At 41.5% G+C, this 27,470-nt stretch overlaps 1 annotated feature.

Moving 5' to 3' along the window:
- Positions 1,657–2,856: an enhancer, noted in NCBI's record as "P300/CBP strongly-dependent group 1 enhancer chr11:13282544-13283743 (GRCh37/hg19 assembly coordinates)". NCBI's record gives its function as "activates an origin of replication core promoter dependent on BRD2, BRD4, P300/CBP, MED14 and CDK7 cofactors, with strong dependence on P300/CBP, by STARR-seq in HCT116 cells {active_cell/tissue: HCT116}" and the evidence as "EXISTENCE:reporter gene assay evidence [ECO:0000049][PMID:35650434]".

Genomic DNA, 27,470 nt, shown 5'->3' with positions numbered 1-27,470 from the left:
TCTCTACCTGGCATCTCCAGCGCTGGCCTGGTCCTGAGTTTTCGTCCCGCATCTTTCTGCCTGGTGGAAGTTTCACTTTAATGCAACATGTTTGAACCAAGCTCTCAATCTACTCTTTAATCTTATTCTCCCTCCCAAACTGTTCCTGTCATTAGCACCACATTCTACCAGTCATTAGACTTTTAAAGCCACCCACTTGAATAGTTAACCTCTCCTTCCTTTGCAGACTTTCCTTCCTTCCTTCCTCCCTCCCTCCCTCCCTTCCTTCCTTTGTTCCTTTCCCTTCTCTCCTTCTCTTACTCCTTCCACAGATCTGCCCCTTGCCCACTTACTATGGGGTATTTAATAAGCACTTACTACATGCCAGTCCAGGTTACTCTTTGCCTTCCTGGAGCCTACAATCTGGTGAGAGAAACCCACAAGCAAGTAAACTAGTTATAGCTTCTGTCAAGTACAGTGAACTAGACAGAGGGCTGTGTACAGGATAATGAAGGGAGCAGACAAGAAAGGGCCTCTCTGAGGAGGTGATATTTAGACTGAGATCCATGAGGAACAGTGGATATAGGAGGGTGGGCTGCCCATATGAGGTCTGATCGGGTGCCAGAGCTTAATGAGCTGGCAGGAGAGTGGATAGGCCAGGAAAGAAGTGAGTAGAAGCAGATCTGGAGGGACTAGGAGGGCAGGTGAGTCTGACTTTATTCAAAGTGCTTTGGAAGCCTTTAGAGGGCTCAAGTGAGGGGGAACCTAATCCGACTTACACTTGGAAGAAGCATGGGGTGGACAGTGACCTTCTCAGCTGTTTTCTGAAGAAATGATTGGAGAGAAAGTGGGTAAACGTGTGGGTTTGCCTTTCTCTTCCAAATCTTCCCAATATAATGTTTTTCTAATTAAGACTAATATTCTTCCTTGCAATCAAAAGGGTGAGAGTTACATTCTGCACCACTCAACAGCCATGCTTCAGAGAGGGGTCTTGGGTACTGGCAGTGAGCGATATCAACAATGCAACAACAACAGTAAAGCTTACGGAGCATGACTATGTGTACTCAATATGAGTACTTATGTGCATTAGATGTTTTAGTGCACAAGAGCCTTATATAGGGTGTATTGCCACCTTTATTTTACAGAGAAGGACAAAGAGGTGAATTAACTTGTCCAAGGTCACAGAGCAGCTAAGACAAAAATGAATGAAGAAACGATTTCCAAATAAATATAGTCAGTCTTTGATTGGTTTTTCGTCCTGTCTTCCACATTCATTGTGAAAAATGCAAACTGTACAAAACTGCATAAAGTAGAAAGTTAAAGCTCCCTGTAACCCTGCCCCTAAGGTGAGAGTTTGAACTTGCGCTCCGTGGTTTTTCCCCCAGCAGAGCTAGAATACTTCCTATAGGCAACCTGAAAAGCTCTCAGGTATCTGACTTCTACAAAGGGGCTGGTCCTCTCTTAAGCCAGTTTAGAAACAGAAGAATATAAAGCCACTTTCTTACCATTTCTGCTATAGAAAGTGAACGCCAAACCATTCTGGCTACAAAGAGAGTCACACCCATTTGGAGTGAAAGCTTTCATGAGTTTACATCACTGCTTAGAAGGACAGGCCAAAAAATACAGCAGGAGGACAATGAGAGTTTACCTTCATCCACGAACAATAAAACGAGAACAATGTAGAAGAGAAATCTGGTTGTTCATTTCTCCTCATTTTTATGTCTCATAAGAGAAATCATTTGGGTTTTCTCTGTAAAAAAACAAAACAAAACCAAAAACCCTAGTTTTAGCAGCAAAACTAATCACAACAAAACGATATTCTGGTGTCATTTTATAAATTCTGAATAAAAGCTGGAGGTATTCAAATTTCTAAACCCTGCAGCACAAAAGGCAGCTTTCCAAACAGGACTAGGCCACGCTAACTGTTGAATAGGAAAACTAATTAGCATCCTGTGTGAACTATCTTGTCTTTTTTTAGGACCGGAAATCAAATGGGAAGGGTTCCCTCCTGTTCCAAGTGAGTTCCAGAAGAATTACTCACGCTCCTTAACCTATGAGTCAGAAAGGAGTCTAGGAGAGTGTTTCCAAAACAGGCTGACAATAAGATAAACAAAGCAATTGATCTGTGGCAGTCAGGAGATCAGGGCTGCCACTGGTCAAAGTGAGGGATCAGGTCTAGAGTGTAAGATGGTAAACCTGGGATCGGCTGAGTCTCCCTGGAGAAGCCGTGCCAGAGCTCTGCAGACCAACCAGCCCCGAGCCATTTCCCGAAAGTCAATGTCCACAGGGAGGTTTGGTTCAGAACCTTTATTCAATTTCATTGATTTAGTGTATGGAATTGTAGCATCTTTCCCCCCGTATAACTCAAGGGACTTGTCTGCCATCACACTGCACTGCCTAGCCTGGCTCTCTAAATGCTTTGGCTATCCATGCGTTTGGACGTCCCACAACACAGGATATTAATCATTTCAGGACTCTGGGCCTGTTCCCAGTGTCCATGTTCGCCACTGTTGAGCTGCAGCCAGAAAAGCAGTTCCCAAATGACAGAGACGTTCCTAAACTTAAATACAAAGTAATCAAAATTCAGTTTAGGAGATAACCCAGCATCAAGCAGATACTCTCCTGGGAAGGTAGAGGATAAACTTCCTCATTGCTCCTTCTAGGGAAGAGTCTGAAGCCAGGGCTCAGCTCTGTCTGCGGCTGCTACAGGCCTACAGGCATCTCCTAACGGAGGATTTAGGGGTGTGCACGAGGCCTCATGAGGACACTGCCCCGCTAGCCTGATCCTTCCTTCCAAGAGAAAACCGCAGTGTGGATGTGCCGAGGTCGGCCCTGCCATGGAGGAAGAGCGGAAGCTGACTGGTGTTTTTCTCGATCCGCCATTAGACCTATTCGTGTACAGAGGCCAGGCTGAGGTGAGGGTGGGGTGGAGGAGGAACAGTGTCCTAAACAAGAATCCTGTCTCATCTGCTTGCCCTGACTTGCCCCTCTGTCCATCTGTCACGCAGTAGTCAGTCATCTTTCTAAACGCAGCTCTCAGATCACCTCCTCTCCTGAAAGCCTTTGAGGGAACCCTCCCTGAATACACACCTACAGAAATTCCAAAATTCTTCATAGGCCATCCAAGGCCCTTCACTCCTTGACTTTCTGCCTAACTTTCAGATTCATTACCAGCCACTCCCTGAGCTTCTAACCACATTTGCCTGCTCATTATTTCCTGAAAACATTGTGTACTTTTAGCTCTGCTTTCTTTATTCATGCTGTTTCTTCTACCTGGAATCCCATCGCCTACTGACTGCCTCCTGCTCAGCCCTGCAGTGCGCCCCCCCACATCTCACCTCTTTTTGCAGGAGTGCTCCTGGGTCCTGTTCCCACCCCTGCTGAGTTCGTTGCTCCCTGATCTGTGTTTGCATGGCACTAGATGCGTGCCTCTCTTCTAGCAGCTATTACCTTGTATGGGATCGGTCCATGCTCTTGATCTTCCCCATTAGACTGTGGGCTCCCCAGGGATGAGTGCTGTGTTTGCTCCATCTTAATTGAATCAAGGAGAGTTTACACATCAGCTGTTACACTCTTTGCCATTCATATAATGGCCAAAAGTTTAAAAGAAGCTGCATTGCAGCAATGGTCAATCCTGCTGCTCTCCCTCCATGCAGCTTTTTGCATTCAATGTGACTTTCAGCAACATTTGGCTTGCACCAACACTGATGGTATTCAGTTTCAAAAGAGTAACAGTTTCAGGGTGCACGTTTTCTGCATTTAATTGTTTAAGATAGGAACAGATAGCGTACCTAAATTGCACTCCAAGTCTCCCTCTCCCTCCCTCCTTCTCCTCTGTTTTTCTCTCCCTCCATCTCTCTGTCGTTGTTTTTCATTCTCTGTCTCTCCCTCTGCCCCCCGCCCACACAGATACACAACACACAGAGTAGAAATGCCTAAGGACACATGAATGAAGTTAGGGTACAAGGTTTAGTATGTAGTAAAAAATTTTAATGCCATGTCAAACAAAAAGCCCATTAGTTAACAGGTGTTTGCAGAAGGGCACTCCAGGTCCTCAGCCCTCAGCCAACCTAGGTGCTATAAAGGAATACCAACTTAGGCAAATTCCTGATATTGCTTTGGAAAATGGTTACACTGACTTTCCTTCCTTTCTCAGACATTTCCTCTCTCAATGTTCGCACATGGTGTTCTCTGCCTGGAAAGCCTTTGCCCTTCACCGCAGTGCCTCCATTAAGCGCATGCTTTGTCATCCTTCAACTTTCAGCTTAAACAAAACTGCCTCAGAGGGTTGTAGTTATCTCCTTAACCATCTCCGTAACTCTTTTCATCTTGCAAAGCTAAAACTCTGTACACATTAAAGAGTAACTCCTCATATTTCCTCTCCCCAGCCCCTGGCAATCACCATTCTACTTTTCATCTCTGAATTTCACTACTATAATGGCTTTAAAAATAGTGTGCATATAAACTGAAACATAACTGCCTGGACCCATCTCCCATATTCTGCACTTCAGCACTGTCAGTATTTTCTTCAAAGCCCTTGCCAATTATTTAATTTTATCTTACTTAAATTTAAATTTAATTTAACTTTTGGTGTGCCCCTACCGTTAGACTGAAAGCAATTTGAAAGGAAGAGAGTTCATGTGGATTTTGTTCTATACCACATAGTAGTTCTCAGTAAATACTTTTGGGTGAAAGAATGTACTCTTTCAAATCCACATTCCACTTGGAACTGGGGGAAGTTGATATCATCAACTAAGTGCCTTCTCCTGCCTGGTCACACCTGTTCGTCCCCACCACTGACAGGTGTCCTGAACTTGCTTCCAAGGTGCCTGCCTCCCTCAGCCTGGGGAGGGCTTTCATCACCCTCTCCACTTAGCACATTCCTCCTCACCTTACAACAGCTTTTCACCCCATTCTGACACTTTTTGTAGGATGTTAGTTAGTTCTGCTTCTAGGCTCCACAAACACTTTTATTTTCTCCTAACTTTCTCATGTTTGCTTCTTTTATTACAAAAACTAGAAAGTGCTCCTAGAAAACTGTGAGCAAACATCACAGAGGTGTATAAAGTAAAAAATGAAAGCCTCCCTTTCCATTCTCATGGCTCCAGGTGACCACAGGTACCACTGAGTTCTTTTCTTTGCATTTATAAGCATACACTAAATCTTTTCATTTAAATAAAAAAGGGACCATTGTATACTTTTAGAAAGTGAAAAACAGATCACGGGATAATACCGGTTAGTGTGTTACTTTTCAATTGCTATCTCTCATATTTATTTTTCATGTTGTAATAGAGAGAGCAACTTTGCTTTTTCAGTGGCTGATTACTGGTTCATTGTGTGCTTGTACTATCATTTAAAAAAATCTGTTTCTTTATGGCTATTTAGGTAGCTTCTTTTTTTTTTTTTTAATCTCAAGCAATGCTAGTATAAATCCCTTTATACCTTTATACATTTCAGTGGCTATTTCTCTGGTATATATATATATATATATATATATATATTTTGTGTGTGTGTGTGATGGAGTTTTGCTCTGTCATCCAGGCTGGAGTGCAGTGGTGAGATCTCGGCTCACTACAAGCCCTGCCTCCTGGGTTCATGCCATTCTCCTGTCTCAGCCTCGGGACTACAGGCGCCTGCTACCACGCCCGGCTAATTTTTTGTATTTTTGGTAGAGACGGGGTTTCACCGTGACAGAGTCTCACTCTGTCGCCCAGGCTGTAGTGCAGTGGAACAGTCTCAGCTCACTGCAACCTCCGCCTTCCCAGTTCAAGCAATTCTAGTGCCTCAGCCTCCTGAGTAGCTAAGATTACAGGCATGTGCCACCACGTCCAGCTAAATTTTGTATTTTTGGAAGAGATGGGGTTTCGCCATGTTGGCCAGGCCGATCTTGAACTTCTGGCCTCAAGTGTATCCACCTACCTCTCCTCTCAAAGTACTGGGATTACGGGAGTGAGCCGCAACTCCCGGCCTGGAATATATTCTAAAAATGGCATTGTTGGATCAAATGGCATCTCATTTCATATGTTGATAGCTCCAGCCTGATTGTCTTCTAAAAAAGCATTCTACTGCCCATTTCTACTCCCACACATGGTGCGTAAGAGTGTCAGAGGCTCACACTATGAGTGGGTATTATTGCTGTAGTTAATCTGTCTTACCTAATTGGTCAAAAACTTTCCTGTTTTCAATTGTTGAGCTTGATAGTTTTTGATATTTAACCACCATTTATGTCCTTCATCCTTGAAGTATTTTTATATCCATCGATCATTTTTCTATTGGAGTGTTCAATTTCATTTTTCTTCATTTGCAATGGCTTTTTAAAAAAACATTGTGGTAAAATACACCTGACATAAAAGTTACCATCTTAACCATTTCCAAGTGTACAGTTCAGTGGGATTAAGTACATTCACAATGTTGTGCATCCATCACCACCATCCATCTCCATAACGCTTTTCATCGTGCAAAGCTGACTCTATACCCATTAAACAGTAACTTCTCATCTTTTCTCTCCCCAGCCCCTGGAAATCACCATTCTACTTTTCATCTCTACAGATTTGACTATTGTAATGACTTTGAACATAGGATGAATATAAACTTTTGTCTGTTAGAGAGGGTGAACATATTTTCCAAAAGTTTTAGCTTGCCTTTTAACTTGATAATGCCTCTTTTCATATAGAAGATGCACTTTCTTTAAGCTTCACACTTTTATATTAGTAAATATGAGCATATTTTGCTTTTTGGCTTTTAAGTTTTATGTTTTACTTTAAAAGACCTCTTCATTCTAAAATGATAGAAGTATTCTCCTGATTTCATCTAGTTATAAAAGCACTCTGGTCATCTCTGTATCTCAACACTTCTCCTTCTGTATTCTAATGAATAGTAATAGCTGACATTAATGAGAACTGTATTTCAGACACCGTGCTAAGTTCTTTTCATGTATTATCTCATTTAATCTTTGTAACAAATTGATGAGGTGGGTCATATTTTTATTTATTTATTTATGTTTGAGACAGGGTCTTGCTCTGTCTGCTAGGCTGGAGTGCAATGGAGCTATCACTCCTCACTGCAGCCTCGAGCTCCTGTGCTCAAGCAATCTTCCCACATCAGCCTCCTGATTAGCTGGGACTACTGGTGCATGCCACCATGCCTGGCTAATTAAAAAAAAAAAATTGTAGGGACAGAGTCTCATCATGTTGACCAGGCTGGTCTCAAACTCCTTGCCTCAAATGGTCCTCCCGCCTTGGCCTCTCCAAGTGCTGGGATTACAGGTATGAACCACAGTGCCCAGCCAAGGTGGGTTTTATTATTATCTACATTTTACAATGAAAAAATGAAGATTCATAGAGTTTAAGTAACTGTACGTCAAGTGGCAAAGCTGTAGTCTGGGCCCAAGCTACGTAACTGCACACTAATCACTAAGCTATGAATCTATTTTCTCTGTAAAATGATGTTCCCTAAGGATGTGACTATGTCTCATTTGTATTCCTACTCTAGTATGTAGATCCTCAACAATGATTTTTGGAGTGAATTAATTCCTTTCACTTAAACTCAACATGCTATGGGCAAGCTCAGACATGGCCATTCCTATCTATCTCTTCCTCCATCACCTCTCTCGTCTATGAATTTGGTCATGACTTCTAAGACCCACAGAGCCACTGCTTTCCACCGGGAACAAACTCCCCAGGATGTTCAGGGTCTTCTCAAGCATCGCTGCCACTTTCTCAAGGTGGTAAGTCCTCTATCAAGACGTCGCTCCCCTCACAGAGTTCTCTACTGGGTCTGCTCATATTTCACCTCTGTCCTCTGAATAAGCTGATGGATTCCCTCTAGCTCACAGACCATAATTCTACCCTTATCCTAAAACAGCATTTCCTCTTTTGGAGTCCTTAAAAATTTTAGCACCAGGTCCACAGCCTTCACCTCTCCACCTCTCTTTGTCTCCCTTTAGAGCTCCAACTCTCATATTGATAACCCTTCCAATGTCCTGGCCTCAAATCCTCAATTTTCACAATCAAATATCCTTTCTCTCCTAATGTTCGTAACATCAGCCCAGCCCTGGGCCCAGATTCAATCATTGCAAGATGCTGCTTCCTTGTCTTGCTCTCTTGTCTTTCTACTGCAGCCCTGCCTCTTTTGCCAATTTCCAGACCTGTACAGACCCCTTCTATTTTCTCCACTCTTTCTCATTGCTGGGGAAGTTCAGGAACCCAGGACATCTGGATCTGTTACAACTTCGGGAGGACTGTCTCTGTGACTTGGCCACTCTCTCATCACCTCCACCTGGCTTCTTGTCCACTCTCTGTAGCATCTCTTCTAAATCTTTCACTCTCAGCTAGACTTCACTTTTCAAAGATGCCTTTGCCTCTTCCTTCACTGTGGAGGGAAAGCCACCTCACTGGAGCTCTCTCAACTTCCCTACCCTCCACCACACTCCCTTCTTTCCCATCTCAGAGGAGTAAAGCTTCTCCACTTCATCCTTTGCGGTGCACAATAAGTGTAAGGGGGAAGAATGGATTTTGGAAACTGACAGTCTTGGGCTTGAATTTGAGCTCAAGTAGCAAACAGTTTTATGTCTGGGAGCAATTTATTTACTGTTTCAAGCCTCACCTTTTTCACCCATAGGTGGGGATGACAATAGTACCAGCCTCAAAGAGATTTGTAGAGAGGATTAAATGGCTGGATGCATGTGCAGCTGAGGCATCTGCCCCGAATTTCTGAATTTTCTTCCCACCATCCCACCCCCAGCTTCTCCATTTGAGTCCCAGATTCCATTCCCTTTCTCTTTGGGGCTTTGCCCCATCAACTGCTTTCTACTTGTTTATGAATGTTTTGTCATTCCCTTTGGCTAAACTTTTCTTTTTGACTTTAGAAAACGTAAAATTCTTCTTCACCCTAAGAATTCTTTTTGGTGACTCTAACAATTTCAACCTTCATCTTCTCCTTCTCTTAATTTTACTGCCAAATCTCTTGAAAGAGCAGTCTATACTAGCTGATTCTATTTCTCTCCCACCTACTCTCTCCTCAACACCTCTTCTACCTCCTTAATCACCATATTTAAATTGGGTTCCTAAAGTCACAATTTTCTAGGCCCTTCGATTGCAGGTTTTCCTTGGTCTTCAGCCTGCCATGTTCAACTGCAGTATTGAACAGTGGCAATGCCCTGGATCTACTTGAAAAATCCACCTTGACTTCATATCATTGTATATATTTTTTGTTCTCCTCCTGCTTCTCTTGTAATTGCTTCAGCTCACTCACAGAACAGTTTTTTTTTAATTGAGCATCTATTATACACCACAACTGTGCTAGCTGCCAGGATATAATGGTGAACATCACAGGCATTGTCACTGGCCCACTAGTCCTTTAAGCTTATGGTCTAATAGAGCAGACATCAAACAGTCATACACATTCTCTCTATCAGCTACCTGCTGCATGTGTGTATTTACATATTTACAACATATTATAAAAGCATATAACAAGGTGGAAGCTGGGATAGGGGAAGGCAAGTCAAGGAAGAACAGTTTGGGGAAGTGATACATCTCAAAGCTGAGATCTGCAAGATAAAACATGTTAGCTGAGTGAGGAGTAGTAAAGTTGGAGTGGTGGCTTCCAGGAAAAGGAAGAAAAACTGTGAAGGCTCTGGGGTGAGAAGGAACTTAGCAAATTCAAGAAACCGAAAGAATACTAGTGTAGCTAAAGTGCAGGGAACAATGGTGGAGGGATGAAGTCAGAGCCACGGACAATGGGCTAGATTATGTGTGGTCTTGTAGGGAACATGGAGAGGGTTTGGGATTTATTCCCAAGAGCAATGAGTGGATAATGAAAAACCTCTCTTTCCCTGCCTGCTTCCTCATTTCGAATGCACTCATAGATGGGTTGTCTATGCTTTTGGCCAGCCAGTGTCATGGCTGAATAATTGCTCTTTATGATTGATTCCTGAGCCCCAGTGCCCACCAGAATTCCAGTCCTTTCCCAGCTACCTCCTAGGATTCTCCCATGGGATGTCCAGCTGGCACTACAACTGTAAATGTTAGAAACAGACTTCATCTTTCTTTTCAAAATTCTTTCTTCTTTTGTGTTTCCTATCCTGGTTCATGGCAGCTCTGCTGGCCTCCCATCTATCCAGATTGGAAATGCTGGTGTCTCTTTGACCCCCCCTTTCATTTATTCATTCATTCCTTCTGAGGATACAGCATGCACCAAAACTGATGGCACTTGCATTCCAGTATGGGCGACCAAGGCCAAACACATCAATATCAATGTATATTATAATGCCAGTTAGTAATCAATAAATACTACAAATAAAAAGCAAATAGAAAGTGATGGGGTGGGGATGCTGCTTATTTTCATCAGGGAAGTTCTTTTTGAGAAGATACCTTTGAGCAGGATAAAGAATCAAACCATGTGGATATTTGGGGAAAGAGAATACCAGGCAGAGGGAATGGCATATGCAAAGGCCCAGAAGTGGGAGCATGCTTGAGAAACAGCAAAGAGGTTAGTAGCTTGGGAATGCATCGAGTGATAGGTTGACAGTAAAGAGACAAGGCCAGAGAAGCAGCACCTCCGGATTGTGCTGTAAGGTATGGAAAAGGGTTTGGAATTTAATTCTAAGTGTGATGAGAAGCCTTTGGAGGGTTTCAGTCAGAGAAGCAACATTCCTATGGTTTGAATATTTGTCTCCTTCAAAACTTGTGTTGAAATTGAATCCCCAGTGTGGCAGAATTGAGAGGTGGGGCTTTTAAGAAGTGATTGGGCCATGAGAGCTCTGCCCTTATGAATGGATTAATCTATTCATGGATTAATGAATTAAAGGATTAATAGATTAATAGGTTATCATGGGAATGGAACTCATGGCTTTGTAAGAAGAAGAGAGTCTTAGCTGACACACACAGCCCCCTCACCTTGTGATGCCCTGCACCCACCAACAAGAAGGCCTTCACTAGATGTGGACCCTTGACCTTGGATTTCAGCCACCATAACTGTAAAAACTAAAGTCCTTTTCTTTATAAAGTACTCAGTTTTCAATATTCTGTTATAAGCAACAGAAAACCGACTAGGACAGACATGATCTGATATGCAGTTCAAAGGGTCCCACTGGTTGCCGTATGAAGAATAGACTGTAGGGGGCAAAGTGAAGACCACATAGTAATCTATGTCTCCCCGACATTCACAGGGTCTTGCCCACTCCATCCTCCCTTCCCATTCTCACAGCTGCTGCTCTGAGTTAACTCCCTGCATATCATACATGAATTATTCGTGTGACCTCATAAATGATCATCCTGCATCCTGCTACATTTATCTTCCAGTTGCACAAATTTGAGCAGGCTATTTCCTTGATGAAGACTCCCATTGTTCCCTACCTTATTTTCATTAAGTACAACTCTTTTAGCCTTATATTTAAGGTCCCTTCTTGCCACTAACTGCTTCTCCAACTGCTGTCTTTCGCATACCCCAAGCTCAAGTTACACTGAACTACTCAGTTTACCATATAAGCTTCTTGCCTCCTCACCTCCATGCTTTTGCTCAAGCTATTCCATTTTCCCATAAAGCCTTCTCTTGCCAGCCCTCATCTCTGTAAGGCTCGGATTTCCTGAGTCTTTCTTGATCACCCAGGCAAAAGTGATTCTTCGTACCTTTGGCCTCTTATACTTTCCTAGTGACATTAATCATTATCTACCTAAATTATAGCTCTTTATTGTACATGTCTTGTCTTCCCCACTAAATTGTAAATTCCTAGAGGTCAGGGTCCAAGTTGATATATTTGTGCACTTTCCATCCACAGTGCCTAGCCTGATGCTTGTAGTGAGTACACAACAGATATTTGTTGAATGAATGAATTTCTAGCCTCAGAGGATTTTAACAGTCTATTTAAAGAGACATAACCAAGTCCTAAAGCCATGCTAGTAGTATAATGGAGGAATACATTACGTGGCACATAGTCTATGGACTGTAGGAATTCAGAAGGAAGATCAATAGTAGGTGGATTGGTCAAGGACGAGCTTTAATAGTGAATGTTTCTGGAATGGTTACCACATTCCAAGTTCTAGGCTGAACACTTTACATGCATTATCTCACTCTTCTCAACTCCTCTATGCTACAGGCACCTCTATGATACTTTCTACATTTTAAATGTGTCGGCCAAAGTTTGTGTGTTGGAAACTTAATCCCCAGTACAACAGTGTTGAGAGGTGGGACCCTTAAGAGATGATTAGGTCATGAGGTTTCTACCTTCACGAATAGATTAATGTAATTATTAAAGGAGTGGATTTGTTATAACATTGAGCTCAGCCCTCTCTTGCTCTCTTTCTTGCTCTCTCTCACCCTCTCTTCTTCTGCTATGGGATAATGCAGCAAGAATGCCCTTGCCAGATGCCAGAACCTTGATATTGAACTTCCCAGCCTCCAGAACTATGAGAAATATATTTATGTTCACTATAAATCACCCCGGTCTGTAGCACTATGTTATAGCATCACAAAATGGACCAAACAATACTTATGTATAGATATGGAAACGAGGTGGTAAGGTGAAGTTATTTTCTCAAAGTCACAGTGCTATGAAATCTACAGAAGTGGGATTTGAGCCCATGCCTATCTGGTTAGATTATACCAATCGTTCCTCTTGTCTGCCTTTGAGAACAAAGGAAAGGCCGTGCTTAAAGATAGCATTTGCATTTTATCTACTATCTCATCAAAAGTGGATCTAAAACAGCTAAACATGAACTGAGCTATGCCTGAGAAGATGACTAGGGCTCGAAGATGAGGCAGGTGTTTTGGGTTAAGACAACAGTTTTTGTGGGCTAAAAAGAGTAAACCTGTTCCTCGATGACAACAGACTGATCTGGCCAGTTGGAAGATGTGTTTAGGGACTAGTTTACTGGGTAAGTGGAGACAGTGTGTGGAAGGTATTGAATGCCAAGTAGAATGGTTGAGTGTTGATATTCCAGGACACAAGAAGATATTGTAATATTTATGAGTAGGGTCAGGACATAACTCTATTCAAAGAACGTTCATTGGGAAAGATTTTGCACTAAGCAGATGGCTGGAACTGTAGTATTCCCTGAGAAAGCTCTTGCTCTCAAAGAGCTAACAGTCCTTTGGAAGAAATAGCCCATAGAATTCAAACAAAGCACAGTAGAGACAGCCGAAGAACAAGAATTTTAACAGAGCATCAGAAAGAACTTCCTAAAGGCTATGGCACTTGAATTAGGCCTTATAGAGGGGTGGAAATGGAAGAATAGACAATGGGGCCTGCTTCTGAGCTAAGGGAAGGTGGCATTTAGAGAAGATTACCCAGTAATTGTGTACTGGCTGGGCTATTAAGCAGTCTCTAACACGTTGAGATTTCTGGGGGAGAGATGCACTTAAGGCCAGAAATCTATCTACACAGGTAGCAGTTCGTGTGAAAAAGACATAGGAGTCTTAGCATTCAGCAAGTTCAATGGGAGAATGGAGATGCTTCAGTGTCAAAGGAGCTATGCTAATCTTCAGCTGCCTTAAAAGACGTTCAGTGTTGCACATCCAGATCCCAGACTATATCTGGAGAATTTTTTCAGTTTTGGTGGCCATGCTCTCCACCTTATGGTTCACAACTGGGGGTGTTTTTGACCCTCAGGACATTGGCAATGTCTGGAGACATTTCTGGTAGTCACAATTGGAGCGAGTGCTACTGGCATCTAGTGGGCAGAATGCAAAGGTTTTGCTAAACATTCTATAGTATGCAGGGCAGCCCCCACTCCCCATGACAAAGAATTACTTAGGTCAAATGTCAATAGTGCCAAGCATGAGAAACCCTTCTCTAGTTGATGAGGCAACTAGAGCATGGTTAGTGGAGGGAACAGTTTTTAAAACAGTGTTACTAGGAAAAATTGAAGAAACTGGTGATTATCCTGGAGATTTAGGGACCTGAGAAATATCTTAGAAAAGTGAAAGAACTGAACCATCCAGAGCAACTGCCCAAGTTTCTACCAACATTCACCCTAACCACTGTGATAAGGTCCAATCAGATCCAATGTTTGGAAAACTAAGAAAGTCAATTTTAATAGCAAACACTTGTATAGCATTTGCTGTATTTCAGGCACTATTCTAAGAGCTGTACAGATATCAACACATTTAATTGTCACAACAAACCTATAAAACCCATTTTTCAAATGGAGAGACTGAGACACAAAGAAGTAGGTAAGTAACTTGCCTAAGATCACAAAGCTGAGAGTGGAAGAGCCAGAATTTGAGCCCAAACAGCTGTACTCTTAACGACTGTTCAATATTGCTTTGCTGTACTGGAAAGGATGCTATTGTAAAGAGACAGACCTGGGCTCAAATCCCAGCTTTGCCACTTACTAGTTTGTAGCCACAGGCATGCCACTTAACCTCTCTGAATCAATTTCTTTATCCTGCATGATAAGGGTGTCTGATAGTAACATGATAAACATTTACTAGGTTCTTCTGCACTGTGATGAATGTACACTCGTGTTGTTTAATGACAGGGATGTGTAACTGAGAATAGTTAGGCAATTTTGTCATTATATGAACATCATAGAATGTACTTAAATAAACCTACATGGTGATAGCCTACTACATACCTGGGCTATGTGGAATAGCCTATCGCTCCCAGGCTACACACCTGTACAGCATGTTACTATACTGAATTCTATAGGCAATTGTAACACAATGGTAAGTTTCTGTGTAACTAAACATAGAAAATGCTTAGTATAAATATGGCATAAAAGATAAAAAATGATACACATATATAGGGCACTTGCCACAAATGGAGGCTGCAGGACTGGAAGTTGTTCTGGGTGAGTGGTGAGTGAGTGTGAAGGCCTAGGACATTACTGTACACTACTGTAGGCCTTATAAACACTGGACACTTAGGCTACAACAAATTTATAGGGAAATATTTTTCTTTCTTCAATAATAAATTAGTCTTTCTTACTGTAACTTTTTTACTTTATAAACTTTTTAAATTTTAAAACGTTTTGACTTTTAAAAATGGCACTTAGCTTAAACCACAAACACATTGTACAGCTGTACAAATATTTTCTTTCTTCATATCTTTATTTTATAAGGTTTTTCCACTTTTAATTTTTTCTTTTTTACTTTCTAAACTTTTTTATTAAAAACTAAGACACAAACATACACACATTTGCATAGGACTACACAGAGTCAGAATGTCAAGATGTCACTAAGTGTGACATTATACAGATATAAACATATGTATGGAAAATGTACATATTATATAAATAACATACATACAGATAAAACATATATATTTTCAGCTCCATTATAAGCTCATGGATCACTGTTGTATATTTGGTTCCTCATTGACTGACATGTTGTTATACCGCATGACCACATTTATTATCCTCATTTCATACTCATGGAATTACATGGTTTAGAGACATTGAATGACTTGTCCAGGGTCACACAGCTAGGAATTAGAAGGTCAAGATTTAAATCCATATCTTTCTGACTCCAGAGCCTGTTTTTTAATGACAAATTCATTATATTTGCAAGCTCATGATGATAATAGTATGAGAAGGCATAAGAAAATTGCTGGGACACCGTAAGCAATTAATAACTGCTTATTATTAGATTAGTAATCGTAGTTATCATGTTTATTACCAGCTCAATCAGATGTGTAGACAGTAGCACATATTCTAGCTAAAAGGACAAGATCAGCAGAAAATGGATGATGCAGTAGCTTGTGTGTAGATCACAATCCCCCAGCCAGCTGTTCCATAATCCTGAGCTTCAGTCTCCTGGTGAAGTGCTGTCATTTTTGATTCATTCGTCCTGCTGTCTGTATGGTCTACTATTCATAGAACAGGAGTGGGACGAGCAGGGATAGTGTGAGGCTATTTAATGTCAAGGTTCCATGGCCCATACATTTCATAGAGTCTGCTTAGTCATAATTTAAAAAAACCATGAATATAGTGCCTTGCACAAAACCAGAAAAGCCACCACACACTCACAGACTGCACTGAGAATAGAACCGCAGCTCACCTGATGGTTAATTCCACCCAGGAAGGATTTCATCTTAAAACAATTGCCTGAATTCGTTGCAGGGAACACTGTGAGTGTTTTCCACAGAGGGGGTGGCATCTGCCTAGCAATTAGAAAGGCTAGAGGGCTGGCAGCACTCAGAATCTGCCTGCAGTGGATTCTTAAACATGAAATTGTGGCCAAAAGGATGTCAGACAGGAAGAGACCAGAGAACTGCTTGGATTATATGTGATGGCAGTAGGTACAAAGGGCACTGGGAGACTTGGGTAGGGGCCACTAACTGCCTACTTGGTGGCGAGTGATCAGAGAAACTTAGGGAGGGGATATTTGAGCTGGATCTTGATGGATGAATAGAAGTCTGCCAGGTGGAGAAAGGGGGCGGGTATATAGACAGGAGAGAACAACAATACTACAAATTTTTGTGACCTGGGAGAACATGGCACTCCTGAAATTCTTTGTGACTGATGGTGGCAGGAGCCCAGGGAGAGGAGCATGGCATGAGGGAGATAAGGCTGGAAATATGGGTTGGATTCAGCTCACAAAGGGCCTGTAGCCCCACAAAGGCTTCTGGACATTGTGGTGTAATGACAAGGATTTCTGGCAGTGCAATCTGAGGAGAAACAACTCCGGGGGTTTAGAGTGAGTCAAACCTGGTTTTGAATCTGAGTTCCATTACTTACTGGCTGTGTGGCTGAGGACAAGTGACTTTGCTTCTCTGAGTCTCAGTGCCTGTGTCTATAAGATGGGGTCATCATGTCCACCTCACATACAGAGGTGTTATTTGGATGAAACAAGGTAAGGTATAAACTCCTAACATAGCCATGGCACATCATAGCTCTTGGTGAATGCTAACTCCCCCTTTGTTTCCAGTTGGGCAGAGTTTCAATCAGATTTCTATTTTAGAACAATAACTCCAGTGGATTGCCCTTGGAGGGGTGGGGCTGGGGGGACTGGAGGCAGATAGAAGACTCAACTCTGGGAGTGAGTTGCTTTGCTGGTCTCAATATGTAAATGCTGAGTTCTAATAGCTTCAATTTCAGGAGTTTACATCTTCATTAACAGAACCAATATCCTTCTCTAAGAAGACTGGACAATGAATGAGCCAGCTTAGCTGCCTCAGTTTCTCCAACGTGAAGAGACCAGTCTGAAGGGACACAGTTGAAGCAAGTTCAAGTTTATTTGGCCATGTGTACTTGATCTCTTGTTTTCCATTTCATTTTTTCGTTTGTTCACTCATTTAGCAAACATTTACTGAGTGCCAATCATTAAATGGGCTGGGTGGGTGTTGGGGATATAGTTGTTCACCTTCCCATCTGTGTGATTTTGTATGATCAGATCTTGAAGGAACAGTGATCCCGTCTCTTCCTAGTGCATGCACATAGCTGCGGCTTCCCATTGGCCAGTTAGACACATCCCTGAACTTTGTGGAAGATAATGAGTAGAACAGAGAACATGGCTCAGGGGAGATTCCTGCTGGAGAATTACTGAACCATGCTACACTTTATCAAGCTCTATTTTCTAGAATTTCAGCACAGCATTTTGAATCTAGGACCAGAGATCCTGAACTCTTGTCGTTCTGAGAAAGAGTTCAAGAAAAGATAAATGAAAAGGAATAGTTGGACCGAGTGCTGGGGCTCATGCCTGTCATCCCAACACTTTGGGAGGCCAAAGCAGGAGAGCTGCTTGAGGCCAGGAATTCGAGATCAGCCTCATCAGCACAGTGAGACCCCATCTCTACTTAATTTATAAATTTTAAAAACAAGTAGCTGACAGGTGATAAAAAAGAAGGCAGTCCTGGCTTCTTAGTACTGACTGAACTTTTGGAAATATAACCAGAGGGTTAAGTTAATTCCACTATTTGATTAATCTAAAAATCTTACCTCAAGTTAAGGGAATTTAGAGAATTAACCAAGAAAAGCAAACAACAAAACAACAGCAAACCGTATCAATGAGGTTAAACAGCAACACCATTACCAAAATAAAATATGTCAAAACTTTGTGATGTCAAAACTGCCACATCTCATTAAGACATTCTAAAACGCTCGCTTTTCCCTCCTGAATCCATACCACTGTTTGTTCCTCTTATGGACCATTCTAAGAGCCTCCTAATAGTTTGGCCACTATGGCAGCAACAAGCCCCCATCCATACTTTATGGAGTCTTCAGAGTCCCCAGAAGGAGAGAAGGACCCTGGCTGCTCCCCGACTCTCAGTCCCCCTCAGAGGAGTGTCCTGCTCCTGGCTGGAAAGCAAGGCTGTGCCAAGCCAACATCTCCTGAGCTCCACCCACTAACAGGCCCCCATCATTTCTCTCAATCTCTGTTTTTCAGCTGGACAGAATGGGGAAACAATGCCGTGACTTTATACCTTGGAGTTATTTCCTTTTCCACCCCCTTTTCCTTCAAAATCCAGCCCAGTTATCACTCCTTCTAGACACAAGTCCCTTGACTCTCTCTCCAGAGGGTTACCCACTCCGACACCTGTAGGGCCACCTTGTATTTTAATGTTTCGAATGTAGCTCTTCCAAAGATGTATTACACTTTTTTTGTCTGACGTGTCTTTCTCACCTGCTATGACCTTTACATACAAGGGCAAAGACTCTGCCTTATTATATGTCTCTGTTTCTCCACTGCCATGCACAGCACCTGGCACATAATAGACAACTTTGTATGTTATCTTTTTTTCTGGTTAAATTGAATGATGAAATGGAAGGGAGGGGAATAGATGTTCTGAAATAGAAGAAAAGAAAGAAGACCAGGCAAGTCTGTCTCCTCAGCAAACAGTCAATGCCACTTTATTGTGAGGGGCTGCCTTGTGCAAGAGATGAGGCATTTGTCCCTGAGAACCATACAGACTTTGCCCTCCTATTGTTTAAGAGTGTGGACTTTAATGTCAACCTGCCTGGGTTTGAATCCCAGATCTGCCACTTGCTGTATGACTGTGGATAAACTAATAAACTTTCCTATGCCTCGGGTTTTTATCTGCAAAATCAGGGTAATGATGGTCCTTACTAGGAAACGTTCGTCATGAGAACTAGTGATATAATCCATGTCTTGCACTTACAGCAAGCAGCGCCTGGCACGGTGGGCATGGGGTAAATGTCAGCTCTTATTGAAGAGTTCATAGTCAAGCAGACTTGCAGTAACAAGAAGATCAAGAGAGCCGTTATTAAGAAAACTTTATTTTCTTAATAAAATCTGCACACACATCTTCAGAAGGCTTTAGAGCTGTTGGGTAGATTCTTTAATGAGATGTTCAAGAATGAGGCTTTGATACCAGAGGCATGACTGGGGGAGAATAGATGTGATGGTTGAAATGCCTTTTATGGAGGCTGGGAATAGCTAACTCCCAAGTTTTTGTGGGATATTCAAGGCAATGGCTAGAGCCAATTTTTTTAGAAGAAATGGGTGGTTTGAAAGAAAGGAAAGAGAGGGCCAGGTGTGGTGGCTTACGCCGTAATCTCAGCACTTTGGGAGGCCAAGGTGGGAGATCACTTGAGGTCAGGAGATCGAGACAAGCCTGGCCAACACAGTGAAACACTGTCTCTACTAAAAATACAAAAATTAGCCAGGCATGGTGGTGCACACCTGCAGTCCCAGCTACTCAGGAGGCTGAGGCACAAGAATCGCTTGAAGCTGGGAAGCAGAGGTTGCAGTGAGCAGAGATCATGCCCTTGCACTCCAGCCTTGGGCGACAGAGTGAGACTCTGTCTTAGAAAAAAAGAAAAGAAAAGAAAGAGAGAAGAAAAGGTTGCTAACACCCAGGGAAAGGGCTTTGGCAAGGAAATTGAGTTTTTAAATCAGAGCTTTTGATCAACTTTTCTGTCTGGTGTGTGATGCAACCCTCTCCTTAGCCTTCGCATAAGGTCCTCAGTGAAATCTCCCTGACTCTCTTTGCTGCTGGAGTTAGTTTGCTTTCTTTGGGAATGCAAAGAGTCTGGGTTTGATGTTTTTGGTGAGGTCAGTGTTATCTCCAGGATGCCAGCCACATCTGGGCTACAGATCATTACAACCCAGTGGGAGAGTTTCCATGAGAAAGGCGCTTTGGGTACACGAGGTAAAAAAGGACAGAGCACCTTTGGGGGCAGCTGGAGAGATCAGTATGTTACAGCTGCCAAATATATAGTGGAAATGTACAATAGAGTCAAGTTCTAGACTCTTACAGCAGCCTGTCCAGTGGGCAGGCACTAGACAAGCTATCTAACATTAAACACTAAGTGTCTCTGGGAAGTTACTATCATTTCTCACATTAAATTCAATTATGCTGTTCACAGCTGGGACAGGTAAGAAATGTGACAGCTGCCTGCAGAGTTGGCATGAATTGCTCTTTGTACCTGAAACACCAGAGAGGGCCAAAGGACACAGCATTGGAAAACCTGCAGAAGCCTCCATAGTATTATGCACTGGTTAATGGATCAAGCACTTGGAAGACCTAACTCAAATTTGAGTTCAGGGCTCGAAACCTAACTATTTCTAGTCATTGTTCAATTTTTCCATTTTTAGCGGAGCAACTTTGGGCACTTACTACCCGCCAGGTACTGCTATGTGCTTTACTAGCACCATAGCTTTTCATCCTTTCTAAACCCAGTAAGTTCAGTAAAATTGTTAGTTTTACATTGCAGAAGAGGAAAGTAAGGGTGAAAGAGATTGACCTACTGCTATAAGGTCATACAGCTTGCAAGCAGTAGAGCTGGAATTTGAACCCAGCCAGGTCTCTTGGACTCCAGAGCTTAAGATCTTAATAACTATGTTAACTGGTTTGGAAGGAACCAGAGATTGTCCAATTCAACCAACTGTATACCTAGAGGGAGCAACTTGCAATCTGGAAGGGCATGCAACTAGGAGTCTGCTCTCGTTTTGTTTGAGGCTCTGCTGTGTGACTGAGCAAGTCACTAAACCTTCCAGGGCCCCAGTTTTCCTTTGCTATCAACTTTTGATAAACTGTTCTGTCTTCCTTACAGGTTTGTTTTAAGGAGCAGTATGTGAAAGCCCTATATAAGAAGTGGAACAGGACAAAAGCCACGCATTTGTCTTACTAAACAGACAGCAGGCATATTCTAGTCCCCTTTTATGGGCTAGCTAATTTCTGATACATCTAGCCAAATGTGATTAACAGGGAAATGTTTAATATAGAACCACTCCCTTTTCTGACTCACCAAGAAAATGACATAATCTTGAATATTGTACTAAAATAATTTAAAAATTGAGTTTGATATTTGGCTGCGCTTGCTTAAGCATTTTCATATGCATTTAATCTCCAGTAGAACAAAATGAGGCTCCAGATGGCTAAGTTACTTGCCTCCAATCACACGCAACTAATCAATAGGAGAGTAAGAATTAGAACCCAGCACTACCTGGTTTTACTTGCAGGTGATTTTCCGTACAGGAAGGGCTTAGGTCAGATCCATTTGATTATAGAAGGCAACAACTCTGTCTTCACAGGACCTCATTGTTTCCAATGAAGTCACCATAATATCCCTGGGACTACTCCTTATGCCTCTATGCACCCTAATGGGAGAGTTTTCTGTTTTATCCTTTGCTGTGTCAAAGTCTAAACGTTTAGCAAAAATCCAGCCTCATCTAAAAAAACGAACCAGGCTCAAAGCATAGACGAGCTAAAAGAGATAAAATACTATATCATGTCTATCTCTTGATAAGAAATAACTTTCCTAGCTTTGAAGTAAAGGAGGAATTAAATTTCTTTCTAAATTATGGACAACATTGAATTTGAAACTTGTTTAAAATGTAAAAACAATGGCATGAGATTAAAAGGAAAATTTGTATACCAAAGATGATTAAGACTCAACTCTGTATGAAGAAGTAATTCAGATTTTAAAAGAAAAAAAACCCAAGATCTCAATAGATCAATGGCCAAAGGACATGAGGAAAACATTTACATAGAATAGAATACATATACTAAGCACTTATCCTAGAAAACATTTATCCTGAGTAGTAACCAAAGAATTACAGTTTAAAACAATCTTTATCATTATAATTACACATAATAATTTTACAGTTTTTGATATTTACTAAGTGCTTTACATATATAAGTTCATTTAATCCCTAAAACCACCGTAAGAGATAGTGCTATTTCCATTTCATAGGTGAGGAAACTGAGACACAGAGAGGTTTAGTAACTTGCTCAACTCATAATTAGTTAGGGGAGATTTAAACCCAGACAGTCTGGCTCTTACATTCATATTACACTTGGGAAATTAATAGAACTAAACATACCTAAAAGTAGACTATCTGGTGCTAGGAATGTTCTTGAGCGATTCAGTGCTAGTGCTTTACAAATTGCTACAACTCTTTTGCAAAGCAATATTGTGATAGGTTGCAAAAACCATAAGACTATACCTTCCATTCTAGTAAGCTCACTCACTGGACTTTGGATTGCAGAACGAATTCAACAGAAGTAGAAATTTATAGGCAGACAGTTGTATACTGAAGTGTCATCTAGACAAACACTGTTCAATATAAATATAATACACACCAGATTTATAATTTAAAATTTTCTAGGAATCATATTTAAAAAAACAAAATGAAATTAATTTTGATATTTGATTTAACCCAATATATCCAAATAGTATAATTTCAACATCAATATAAACATTTACATTGTTTTTCTTATATTGCCTTAGAAATCTGGCACATATTTTATACTTACTACTTGTCAATCCAGACTAGCTACATCTCAAGTGCTCCATAGTCGCATGTGGTTAGTGGCTGTCATATTGGATAGCACTGATTTAGAACATCAGACGATGGGAAATGGACAATAATATCCAGTGATGTGGAGAATGATTTAGAAAAAGTATGGTATGTCAGTCTCTGGAGTTGTATCAGATCATTACCAATAGCAATAATAAAAGCCTTTAAGAAATATATAAGGCCGGGTGCAGTGGTTCATGCCTGTAATCCCAGCACTTTGGGAGGCCGAGGCGGGCGGATCAACTGAGGTCAGAAGTTCAAGACCACTTTGGCCAACATGGCAAAACCCTGTCTCAAAAAAAAAAAAAAAAAAAAAAGAAATACCTAAAATGTCTATGCTATGTTAAGTAAGAAAATCCAAGAACACAAAATATTAAATTAGTAGATACTTAAAATGTGTCTGTATGCAGGCTGTGACTGAAAAAGAATGTGCAAATATTAAAATAGTTGGGTTAGCATGATGAGATTTCAGGCTGATGTTTTTGTCAAATGTTCTTTTCACTTAAATAGGCATACAACATTTATTTTTATTAATAAACTTTTTAAAACATAAAACAGACAAAGGATCCTTCATATAATAACAATATTTAGGGATTTAATTTTTACAGATTTGTAATATACTGTGTGTTCTAACAAATTCCACATGCTATATATCACTTGGGTTTACCTATAGTTTGGTGTTCTCCTGATAAATAATTTGGAATTTTTAATTATTGGATAATCTTCTGTTTATGTCAGTGTTCTCAAAGGAGTTGAGTTACCTAAGAAAATTATTCACAAGCCTTTGAATAACACATTATGGAGGCAATGTAATGATAGGACCATCCTTTGCTCTTTGTAATATATTTAATATACATTATTGATTGATTGGTTGATTGATTGAGACAGAGTCTCACTCTGTTGCCCAGGCTGGAGTGCAATGGTGCGATCTCGGCTCACTGCAACCTCTGCCTCCTGGGTTCAAGCGATTCTTGTGCTTCAGCCTCCCGAGTACCTGGGACTACAGGTGAATGCCACCACACCCAGCTCATTTTTGTAGTTTTAGTAGAGAACGGGTTTTGCTATGTTGGCCAGGCTGGTTAATACACATGTTTATTATTGCATTTCTTTTATTTGACCTATGAGCTATACTAAAAGCTGACCCAAAGATATCCAATTGTTTGGTGGGTTCCTAGAGATAGAAACTAATAAACAAAATCCCAACTACTTAGGAAAAACTTTGAAATTCTGATTTCAGTTTTAACTAACATATCTAATTGAGAACTAGAGAAGCACAGACGTGGATGGGTTAGATAAAGAAGGATAACTGGAGTCACAGAGTGCTGCGAGCCTGAACTTGGAAAGTCAGCATCTGCAGAAAAGAGGGCATGGGATTATGGTCAGAGAAAACAATTCTGGCCCTGCCTGTACTACCTTAGGGAGTGCACAATCATTCCTTATCTGTAGAACTGGAGATCATGAAATCAATCTCATAGGTAGTAAGAATTAAATAAGATAATATACTTCTCTAAAGATCTGTAATTCTCTGAGGTCATTAAGTGCAATCCTTTATTTTACCTGTGAGGAACACGGGTCTAGAATGGCAAAAACAGGCTTGGAACCTGGATGTCTAGTTTGAATTAGGGTCTTTTAAGCACAAAGACTCAGAGGCCAGGCCTGGAATCAGGGTCCTTCTGTCACTGTGCAGCTCAGTTCTGACACTGTCACAGTGTCATAACACTATGACCTTGAACAAGTCTCTTACATTCTCTCATTTTCCCTATCTGTAAGGTGGGGAAAATAATTGTGTCTAATTCAAGATTGGTCGTGGAGTTTTTAAAAGTCATACTACATAGTATGTTTGGCACACTGCAATCTCTCAGTATCTGTTATCTGTTATTGACAGTAGCCATCCAGAGAAACCTTCTTTGGATGCTTTTGGTGTCCCCAAACCAATCCTTACAATTGTCTTTACAGTCGGCATGTATATTTTACTCATCAATTGGTTGAATCTTTGCAGAATTATATTTTGGAACTTCATAGAAAAATAAAACAGGAAGTTGGGGAAGGGTGGCATTGGCCCACCACTAGGGGGAGTGTTAGTGAAAGTTTATCTTAGACACTCTTAGGCGGGCAGGTTCTGCAGTGGGTAAGGGTTTGGTGGAGGGAAGGAAGGGAAGAGGTGGGCATTCAGGAAAAAGCTGGGTGGAACTCAGGAAGGCATGGAGGTGTGGTCCTGTTGGAGGAGAGCTTGCAAGAAGAGCAAGAAGGCAGTGCAGCACATTGGTAATACCTCTCACCGAGCACTTGCTGTGTGTTAGGCTCTGTGACTCTCATTATTAGTTTCTGTCGCTGGAAAATGGGAAGGCTAATAGTTTCTCCTTTCTAAGAGTTATTGCAAGCACTTTAAGAAATACTGTGTACAACATTTTTGAACAATGAGTGCTTGACACATAAAAGTTTGTTGTTACTATTATTATTTACTATTAAATCCTTCAAAGCTCACATGAGGAAGACCAGGGAACATGTTCAAAACCATGGAGCTAGTAACTGACAAATATCCCCTGTTGCCCGGCAAGTCAAGCAGAGTCTTCCATCCTCCCGCTGCCCACCCTCCAGCCCCATCTCTCAACCTTCCAGTGGTGTTGCCAGGGTGGACCTAGATTGGCTCAGAGCCCCCGTTCTGCCTCTTCCTGGCTGCAAGACCGGAGTAAGTCACTTTGCCTTTCTGAAACTCAGAAAGCAAACTTCCAGTTTGCTCATTTGTGAAGTGGGGGTCATGTTTCTTATAGGGATTTTGTAGGAATTCAATAATGTTTTCCAAGTAGAGTGCGTAGCCCACTGTTTGGCACATAGTTACTCAAGGAGTATTAAGCTGTTAATGTGAAGTGAAGTGAGCCCTTGGGTTCTCTGTGACCTAAGTTTCTCTAGACCCTGACATTTCCATACTTAACCTTTACTCTGGAACAGTCTGGGACAAAAGAAACATATCGGAAACCTAGGCTTTGACAGCCTTCTCTCCCTCTTTTTGTAACACACCATTTTCTTAATTCAATGCCGTATGAAGCAATACAGCTTCTAAATTCATTGATGGTGTCTGCCGGCAAGGAAATGTCAGAGCACTTGGATCCAACTGTCCCGTTGCCGTTCTCTGGCTTTCACTGGGTGAATGGTAACATTTTCAAATGAATAAAAATCTCCAGGCAACATCGCTCTCCTCCCCCAGAGCAGATTTATAACAGAGTGGTTGGCATTTCCACATGCTTTGCACTTGTCAGTGTCAGATTCACATACGTTCTTAGGTCTCTGTACATATATAGGCATAATTTAAATCTCCGGTGAACAAAGGCTATTTTTCTAACTTGGAGATATTCCAAAAGATCTTTGCATTTCATCTATTTTAAATGTTTGTGTGATTTAAAAGCATGGTGATGTCAAATGGTACAGGGGAGGACTGAATATTCAGCTTCCAGCAACTGATCATGTGCTATGTGTCAGGCACTTTATATACAATATTTTACTGAACTGCAGAATGCATATGCATGATCCTCAGTTTACAGAAAGGGAAACTGAGGCTCAGCAAGATTAGTGACTTGCCCAAAGTCACACAAGTCACATGAGCTGAGAGTGGTGGGAGTGTAACAAAAATCATTCTGATTCCATATACAATGTTCCTGACATTTTATCACAGATGCCTCTGCAGAATAACATGCATGCATTCATTCATAAACAATTTACTGAGCACTTGTAATGTACCAGGCACTATGCAAGGCTCTGGTGATCTAACAGAAGAAAAAGCAAGCAAGAATTCTGGCTTTCAAAGAGCTTACATTCTAGTGGGCAAATAACATGGGCCAATTCTGTAACTTGGTGAAAATTTCATCTTCATTGGATGAGATGGAGGTAGAAGAAGGAGGTGGAATGCAAGGATGGCTGGGATCATGGTCTCTGTTCCTCCCCAGATCATGCCAGGGTAAACATTTGGGGAAGGTCTGAGAAGAATGATGAGGCATAAATCTGTGACAATTCCTGCCAGGCCTCTATTCTGATCTGCAACGCATAGGTTGTTCTCTTTTGGGGTGCAGGATTTTGACAGCAAACATTGCTGCTCTAGAGCAAGTAGAGATAAAAAGTGGGCTATTGAAAAGCAAGGCATGGGGAAGGTGTTTTTAGGGGCAGCAAAGATAGAGAAGGAGATGAAAGTGCCAGGATGCCTACAACAGGCACTCAATAAGTGATAGTAGGCAGACTGTGACCTACTATCACTACTACCCAAGATCTATAGTGAAATCCATGGAAAACTTAAAACAACTTCCTGTTCATTTTCAAAAGCAATGTTGCTAGCTACATTCATTACGCAACTCCTATGTGCCAGTCACTGTACCATGTTCCTTGTATGCATTGTATAATTTAATTCCCAAAAAATGAAGTTGCTGCTCAGAGAAGCTAGTGAATGGAGAAACTTGAATTTCAAACCCGAATCTGTCCAACTATAAAGCTCTTGTCCTTTTTGTCCACACCATGCTGCCTCTGTGGCTCCTCAGAAGGCTCTTAAAGTAGAATTAATTTATAACTTGCTCTGCATCCTACATCCTTGCAACTCAAAGTATAGTCTGTGGACCAATGACATTGGCACCACCTAGGAGCTTATTAGAAATGCAGAATCTCAGGTGCCACCCCAGACCTACTGAATCATAATCTCCTTTTTAACAGGACTCCCATGTACAATAAAGTTTAAGAAGCAGGCCGGGCACGGTGGCTCACGCCTGTAATCCCAGCACTTAGGGAAGCCTAGGGAGGGTGGATCA

The sequence above is a fragment of the Homo sapiens genome, chromosome 11, assembly GCF_000001405.40.
Source record: "Homo sapiens chromosome 11, GRCh38.p14 Primary Assembly".
NCBI classification, from domain to species: domain Eukaryota; kingdom Metazoa; phylum Chordata; class Mammalia; order Primates; family Hominidae; genus Homo; species Homo sapiens.
Note: the sequence above shows the minus strand (reverse complement) of the source record. Positions and strands in the feature narration are given on the sequence as shown.